Genomic DNA, 8,799 nt, shown 5'->3' on the forward strand with positions numbered 1-8,799 from the left:
TACGGATAACATAGCTATCAGAAGAGAAGGCTGTATTGGTAAGTTGATTGTTACATTTGTCAGCAAAAGCTAGCACTATTTTTTTTTGGCAATCTCTCAGGCACTGCAACTACTACTGCAAAATGAGATATAATCCATTAAACAACATACTCACAAATGAAAAAATGTTTTAGTAATATAATGCTTCAGATTTAGAAGCAAATCAAGTGTTAAAACTCAACTGTTATAATAATTAACCCCAAAGATAACCGTATCTGACAAAAAGGCTTCCACAGAGTTATGACTTCAGAATTATACTTTCTCTTGATATTTATTTATTTTATTTTATTTTATTTTATTTTATTTTATTTTATTTCATTTTATTTTATTTTTTTCTTGAGATGGTTTCTTGCTCTGTTGCCCAGGCTGGTGTGCAATGGCATAATCTTGGCTCACTGCAACCTCCACTTCCCGGTTCAAGCGATTTTCCTGCCTCAGCCTCCTGAGTATCTGGGACTACAGGCGCCCGCCACCATTCCCAGCTAATTTTTATACTTTTAATAGATACGGGGTTTCGCCATGTTGGCCAGCATGGTCTCGATCTCTTGACCTTGTGATCCACCCGCCTCAGCCTCCCAAAGTGCTGGGATGACAGGCATGAGCCACCGTGCCTGGCCTTCTCTTGATATTTAAACTTTTAAGTCAGTCCAGAAAAATACAATAAATGTCAACAGTAATTATAGTGTTGAGGTAGAAGTAGGACCAAACTTTTTCATATGTTATTCAGTTGATAACAATATGACCTGGGTAGTAATTTCCTATGTCTCTACTTATACACAAGTACAAAAAAGTAAAACAGAGATACTGCTAAATAAAAGGGTACACTTAGTTCCTAATAGTAACTCAATAAACTGGAACACTGTCAAAAAGCAGCAACTAGTGAATTTTTTCAGTGATTTTTTCTATTATCCAATAAGTGAATTATGCTATTCCTTTCCAATTTCCCAAGCACTTTTTGTCTCAATCACCATTTCTGTGTTCGAAGAAAAAGTAACAAATCAAGTAACAAAACTAAACAAGCAAACAAACAAACAAAACACAACTAGAGCATCTGCAAAAGTTTGGTAGAAGACTGAAACTCTTGAGTATAAGGATCTGGTATTCTATTATCATTAGTTAACTTAAGAGTTTGTTAAAGGCATACATTTCATAAGAAAGCGTGTTAGTTTGAAGTTATTGACCAGTATGTACCATCCCTAAGTATTAGTAACCAAATTCATGACAATAAAGAGCTATCTAACAAGAAAAATTAGTGACTACCAGCACCATCAACAAGACTTTGTCTTTACACTTCATTACCACTTACCATGCATTATAATGTCTAGGATTGACTCTGATAGCATTTCGAAAACTAGCTAATGCTTTGTCCAATTCTTCAGTTAAGACAAACTCATTCCCTAATAGAGTATAGGCATAAGCATAATCTGGATCCACTTGGATAGCTCTCTGGAAGAATTTAATTGCAATATCGTATTCCTGTTGCAGACTGAAACAGTTCCCTGCAGCACACCAGGCCTCTGGCAAATTTTTATCCATGTCTGTTAAGTCTTTTGACAGAAATGAAAGAGCAACATCTTTTTGAAGATACCAAAGTGTTGTAGAGTAGATTTCCATGGCTTCGACTATAATTCTCAATCCTTCTAACCTCTGAGAATATTCTTTCAGCTTGCATGGACTCTGAAAGTTCAAAATAGGCCCTTCCAATTTGGCACAGTACCCAACCAGTATTGTAGTGGTGAGAAGGTAAATGGCTCAAAATATTTATAGCTTCTTTGCAGTGGTATGAACACAAAGCTAAATAACCTTCCCCCTTTCACGAAGAAGGCTCATCAAGTCTTCTGCTGCTGCTTTTTGTAGACTAAAAGCCTGAATCTGAGGTGTGATTGTGGATATTTTCCCTTCTGAAATGATGGAAGAGTCCAATTTTGTTGTTTCCAGGCTGTCATTTATATTAGGTTGAGTTATTACTCCTTTATTAGTTTTACTTTTTGTTTTTCTGTTTGGGATTTTAGGTGGAAACTTCATTTTTAATTTCTTCCTATTCTCCTTGGTTGTGGAACTGTCACGAGTAAAGAGTCGTGAACTTCTTCAATGCAGTGCATTTGGGGGAGATATCATAGTGTGGCTCAATACCTGAGGTGTTGTACTTATTTATGGACCAGAACTTTCTGTTTGTGCAAGAATTGGAGTTACCTCTCGGCTATTTCCACTCTGTGAGAAGACAGACTTTGCTCCAATTTGGCCTATTCTGGCAACAGACTTTTTTGAAGGGACTCCGGTGGATGTCATATCCATTACAGAAGGTGTATTAGTGTAGTTTTGTAAATAGGATCCATCTCCAGGACTTGGGGTTTCTAATGGTAAAATCCCAAAACTTGGGGTTAATGGACTAAGAGATGCTGGTCCTCCTAATAAAGTTCGATCAGTTTTTGCTTTATTTTGAACCTGTTTAGATAATATGGAAGTTCCTGTTCCCAGTGGGAGAGTATCAGGTGAAATTACAGCTGAATCAATAGAAGACACTGGGGAATCTGTATTCAAGGAGTACTTTGAATTGGAAGATTCTAAATTCAATCTGTTTAATTCAGTTGCGTTCTGGGGTGTTTCCATAAGAACAGTCTCAGGCTGTCTGTGACATAAACTATGACGAGGTACTTGTGTGGTGCAACACTTGGACAGACAGTTGCTAAAGTTATGTAAAGATGTGAATTTAAAACTTTGGTCAGGATCTGGCTTTTCACCTATTTCAAATAATGATTCAAAGGGATACCAGAGGAAAGGATTTAAACTAAGGCTCTTTTGGTAGCATTCTGATCCTTTGGCAAGCCGATCTGTCTTGCAATATACATGTCCCAACAATGGAAGGGGAAAGCAAGCTGAATCACCAAACTCAGTAACAATATCATCATGGCTTTTCTGCTTATGAAACACTCCACCAGATAAGATTTGTTCCCCTTCTGCAAGCTTGCTGACATCAAAACAACATTTTGCAAGCAGGTACTTGCATTGCGGTGTAGGACAACTGTGTCCTTTCAAGAGTCTATATGCTTTATAGGCCTTTCCTGGGCAGTAAGAACAGGTCGCCAGTAAAAACAAGGCTTCTTCTGAGTGTACTTCTGCGTAAAGGCGTTCTGCGAGGAAAACCCCATCTCGGTAAGCATAGTGGTTTAGTGCTTGCCATGTAGCAACCTGGACGGGTTCCTGTAGCATCGTCATCCTCGAGGCTCAGACCCACTTTCTGCAGTGCCTCAGGCACCCCCCCACCCCGCCCACACCCCTCCCCGCCGTAGTGGCTCCGGCCCGGCCAGCCTCGGCTCATTTAAACTCACCAGTTACCAGGGGATGGGGGAGGCCGAGCCAGAATGACTTCTTTACCCTGCCACCTCTGGAAGCCCGGCCCCTTGTGATCCATTGCAAAGCGAGAGTCACCTCATGTTTGGAAAACGGATCCGCTCCCAAGTTCAGTGGAGGGATGTGGCATGTAGGATGAAGGACTCTCTTCTTCTGATTGGGTCTGCACAGTGGGGCCTAGGGCTGGAGCTCTCTCTGTGTGGACCGCTGACTCCCTCTACCTTGGGTTCCTTCGGCCACACCCTGGGACACGGGCCTTGGCAGATTCTGACCCTTCCTCGCACTAAAGTCGCTGTCAGAAAGCCCATCTCGTGCTCGGATGCCCCGAATGGCTGTGGCCCGAATGACAATGTTTCCTCTCTGGAAACGTTGGAAATCTCTCCTCTACGCGTGGCCAACTGAAACCACAGGAGCTCGGGACACAAGCCGCCATCCACCTCACTGCTTTCGGTAGAGAATGCTGAGTCTCTTACTGACTCTCTCTTGACTTGAGTTCTTCATGGGTGTGTGGTTAAGACGTAGTGAGACCAGATGTATTAACTCAGGCCAGGTGCTGGTGGCTCACACCTGTAACCCCAACACTTTGGGAGGCTGAGGCCCTAGGATCCCTTGAGGAATCGCCTAACCCTGTGGAGGTGGAGGCTGCAGTGAGTGAGCCATAATGGTGTCACTGCACTCCAGTCTGAGTGAAAGACAGAGTGAGGCCCTGTCACAGGCAGGCAGGCAGGCTGGCAGGCAGGCAGGCAGGCAGACAGACAACAGCTGTATTATGATCTTCTCAGGGTAGGAAGCAAAAATAACAGAATACTGCGCTTAATTTTTTTTTTGGGGGGGGGACGGAGTTTCACTCTTGTTGCCCAAGCTGGAGTGCAATGGCACCATCTCAGCTCACTGCAACCTCCACCTCCCGTGTTGAAGTGATTCTCCTGCCTCAGCCTCCTGAGTAGCTGAGATTACAGGCATGGGCCACCACACCTGGCTGATTTTGTATTGTTAGTAGAGACGGCATTTCTCCATGTGGGTCAGGCGGGTCTCGAACTGGCCACCTCAGGTGATCTGCCCACCTCTTCCTCCCAAAGTGCTGGGATGACAGGCGTGAGCCATTGCGCCCGGCCAGCTACGTTTTTTTTTTAATTTTCAATTTTGATCTCTTTATTATTATTATTATTTTTTTGAGACGTAGTCTTGCTCTGTTGCCCAGACTGGAGTGCAGTGGCGTGATGTCGGCTCACTGCAAGCTCTGCCTCCCGAGTTCACGCCATTCTCCTGTCTCAGCCTCCCAAGCAGCTGGCACTACAGGCGCCCGCCACTGCGCCTGGCTAATTTTTTGTATTTTGAGTAGAGACGGGGGTTTCACTGTGGTAGCCAGGATGGTCTCGATCTCCTGACCCCCGCGATCCGCCCGCCTCGGCCTCCCAAAGTGCTGGGATGACAGGCGTGAGCCACCGCGCCCGGCCTATTTATCTATTTATTAACTTTGAGTCCAGGTTATGAAACCAGTTAGTTTTTGTATTTTTTTAGAGACGAGGTTTCACCATGTTGCCAAGGCTTGGATCTAGGGATCCACCTTCCCTCGCCTCCCAAAGTGCGGGGATGAAAGGCGTGAGCCTACTGCGCCTGGCTCCACCCGTTCCCCCCCCAGCTTATCACTCAGGTGCCCAAAGTCCAGCGGTGGTGTGTGGTTCCCACCCCCAGCGCCCCCTCCTCCGGTCGCCGCCGCGGTGTCCGCGAGTGGGTCCTGAGGGAGCTCGTTGGTGTGGGGGTCGAGGAGGTTGAGTGAGAAGCACCCCTGCCACGCGGGGAAGGGCGTCGCCTGGTCTGGCGAGCGCAGGTCCTGTGATCCCCTCTGGTTGGTGCGCACAGGCAGTGTGAGCTATCGCGGTGGGCTTGGGCAGGTGACGCGTGCGCCGGCCGGCCGCCGAGGGGCTACCGTTCTGCCTCCGACAGGTTGTGTGTGGATTTACTTGGAGGTGCTTTGTCTAGGAGAAAGGAGGCTGGTGGACGGGGGGCCCTTGGGGGATTGCGCACACGCATAGCGGCCAGGCCCCCCGCCCAGACCGCGAAGGTTCAAGGTTGCCGCACGCAGATTTTTCCTGGTACCGCAGGCCCCCTGCTTTCCCCAGGCATCCCTGAGCACCTCTAAGGGCCCAACGAGGGGCGACTGGCTGGTGGGGAGTGTGACCCACCCTCCGTGAGAAAGCCTTCTCTAGTGATCCGAGAGGTGTGCCTTTGGGGTAGCGGATCCCCCGGCCTTCCGCCTCTCTCTGCGTTATGGTAGCGCTGCTGTAGCGACTAGCTCGCAGAGGACACTCCTCCACTTCCCCCTCGACGGGGTGAGGTGGGGAGAGCTAGGGTTCCCCTGCCTCCGCGGTGGGGACGGAGGGCGGCTCGTCGCCTACTGTGTGGCCCGCGCCTCCCCCTTCTGAGTCGCGGGAGGATCCCTCCGTGCCGCGCCGGCGTCCTAGCGGTTGGGAGGCTGCGCGAGCGGTGGCTGTGCCCGGCGTTCCCTCTGGCGCGTGACCCGCTCCGCTGCGAGCCGTCTCTCCACCCGCTCCCCTGAGGAGCAGCGACCAGTGTCGACGACCGCGTTTGTGTGGCACGGGGTTGGGCCGCCTGGCCATGGGAAGCTTCCCAAGTGGGGGGCGCGCCGGTCTCCCGGAGCTTGACCGGGTCGGAGGATGGACGAGAAACGAGCAACCTAGCCCTGGCATTGGGTTTGTGGCTGAGGTCGCTTTGGGGTCCCGATGGCGGGACCCGGGCTCATGAGGCGGGTCTTGGTGGGTGCTGAGGGCCGTCCGGCGTCCTAGGCGGGTCGCCGCAGGACCTCCCTCGTGTCTGTGGCGGTGGGATCCCGTGGCCGTGTTTTCCTGGTGGACCGGCCATGCCTGAGGTTTCTCCCCGAGCCGCCCCTCTGCGGGCTTCCGGGTGCCCTTGCCCTCGCGGTCCCTGGCCTTGCGTCTGTGCCCCCCTCCCCGCCCGCGTATCCTCTCTCCCCGAGCGGCTCACCGGCTTAGGCTGTGGTGGTCCCGTCTGGGACCAAACCCGGCTCCGCCTTGTGTGGCGGCGCCACCGCCGGCCACTTGTTGGCCCGTTGTCCGTGTCCCTGGGCGCTCGCCTTCGGGACCAGGTCGGCGGCGCCCCGCATGGGCCTGGTGTGAGCCCGGAGGGTATGGGGTCGGCGTGCAGCGCGCGCAGGGAAGAGGGTTCTGGGGGCTGGCCGCGATGGCGGCGGCGGTGGGGAAGCCGCGGGCCCGCCGAAGGCCAGTCGGCCGCTCCAGGTGCTGCGCGGGGCCGCCTTCGTGCTTGGAGGCCGCTGGCGGTGAGATCCCGGGCACCGCGGTCCGCCTCTCGTTCGCTGCCCAAACGTCGGGGCTGCCCCGCGCCCGCCGCGCGTGAGTGGCCGCCGGTCCCTCGCGGCTGCCATGCACGGGTCGGGCGTTCTGCCTGGTTACACGTGGGCACGAAGGGTCGGGAGTGGTGAGCCCATCGGGGGGTGTTGTGTAGTGTGGGTGTATGGGATGTCCGGTTCGCCGCCCCATCACCCGGCTCCCACCGCCCCGCGCTGCTCCCTCCCTCCCACACGCCAGGTCGACCGCCCTGCCGCACCCATCCTCGCGACTGGGATGCCGGGCTCATCCTCGCGAGGCCTGGAGGCCGCTTTCTACCTACTTGGTTGATCCTACCAGTACCATATGCTTGTCTCAAAGATTATGCCATACATGTCTAAGTACACAGGGCCAGTACAGTGAAACTGCGAATGGCTCATTAAATCAGTTATGGTTCTTTTGATCGCTCGCTCCTCTCCTACTTTGAAAACTGTGGTAATTCTAGAGCTAATGCATGCCGAAGGGCGCTGACCCCCTTCGTGGGGAAGATGCGTGCATTTATCAGATCAAAACCAACCCGGTCAGCCCCTCTCTGGCCCCGGCCAGGGGGTCGGGTGCCACCAGCTTTGGTGACTCTAGATAGCCTCGGGCCAATCGCACACCCCCCGTGGCAGCGACGACCCATTAGAACGTCTGCCCTATCAACTTTTGATGGTAGTCGCTGTGCCTACCATGGTGACCACGGGTGATGGGGAATCAGGGTTCAATTCTGTAGAGGGAGCCTGAGAAATGGCTACCACATTCAAGGAAGGCAGCAGGCATGCAAATTACCCACTCCCGACCCAAGGAGGTAGTGATGAAACATACCAATACAGGACTCTTTCGAGGTCCTGTAATTGGAATGAGTCCACTTTAAATCCTTTAACGAAGATCCATTGGAGGGCAAGTCTAGTGCCAGCAGCCGCGGTAATTCCAGCTCCCATAGCATATGTTAAAGTTGCTGCAGTTAAAAAGCTCCTAGTTGGATCTTGGGAGCGGGCGGGCGGTCCGCCAGGACGCGAGCCACCGCCTGTCCCCGCCCCTTGCCTCTTGGCGCCCCCTCGGTGCTCTTAGCTGAGTGTCCCGCAGCCCAAAGCATTTACTTTGAAAAAATTAGAGTGTTCAAAGCAGGTCCGAGCCGCCTGGATACCGCAGCTAGGAATAATGGAATAGGACCGCGGTTCTATTTTGTTGGTTTTCAGAACTGAGGCCAGGATTAAGAGGGACGGCCGGGGGCATTCGTATTGTGCCGCTAGAGGTGAAATTCTTGGACTGGCGCAGTTCAGACCAGAGTGAAAGCATTTGCCAAGAATGTTTTCATTAATCAAGAACAAAAGCCGGAGGTTCGAAGATGATCAGATACCGTCGTAGTTCCGACCATAAACGATGCCGACTGGCGATGTGGCGGCGTTATTCCCATGACCCCGCTGGGCAGCTTCCAAGAAACCAGTCTTTGGGTTTTTAGGTTCCGGGGGGAGTATGGTTGCAAAGCTGAAACTTAAAGGAATTGGTGGAAGGGCACCACCAGGAGTGGAGCCTGGGCTTAATTTGACTCAACATGGGAAAAATCACCCGGCCCGGACATGGACCGGATTGACAGATTGATAGCTGTTTCTCTGTTCCATGGGTGGTGGTGCATGGCCTTAGTTGGTGGAGTGATTTGTCTGGTTAATTCCGATAACCAATGAGACTCTGGCATGCTAACTAGTTACGTGACCCCCGAGCGGTCGGCGTCCCCCAACTTCTTAGAGGGACAAGTGGCCTTCAGCCATCCGAAATTGAGCAATAACAGATCTGTGATGCCCTTAGATGTCCGGGACTGCACGCGCGCTACACTGACTGGCTCAGCATATGCCTACCCTACGTGGCAGAGGCGGGTAACCTGTTGAACCCCATTCGTGATGGGGATGGGGGATTGCAGTTATTCCCCATGAAGGAGGAATTTCCAGTAAGTTCGGGTCATAAGCTTGCCTGAAGTCCCTGCCCTATGTACACACCGCCCGTCTCTACTACTGATAGGATGGTTTAGTGAGGTCCTCGGATC

The 8,799-nt window shown here is 51.6% G+C and overlaps 3 pseudogenes; 1 reads left to right on the forward strand and 2 right to left on the reverse strand.

Annotated features, from left to right (window-relative positions):
• Positions 1–1,330: 1,330 nt before the first annotated feature.
• CDC27P8 (cell division cycle 27 pseudogene 8) lies at positions 1,331–3,255 on the reverse strand (annotated as a pseudogene).
• A 109-nt stretch (positions 3,256–3,364) lies between these two features.
• LOC100996699 (proline-rich protein 2-like) lies at positions 3,365–7,000 on the reverse strand (annotated as a pseudogene).
• On the forward strand, positions 7,060–8,218 carry RNA18SP (RNA, 18S ribosomal pseudogene; annotated as a pseudogene).

Source organism: Homo sapiens, chromosome 22, assembly GCF_000001405.40.
Source record: "Homo sapiens chromosome 22, GRCh38.p14 Primary Assembly".
NCBI lineage: Eukaryota > Metazoa > Chordata > Mammalia > Primates > Hominidae > Homo > Homo sapiens.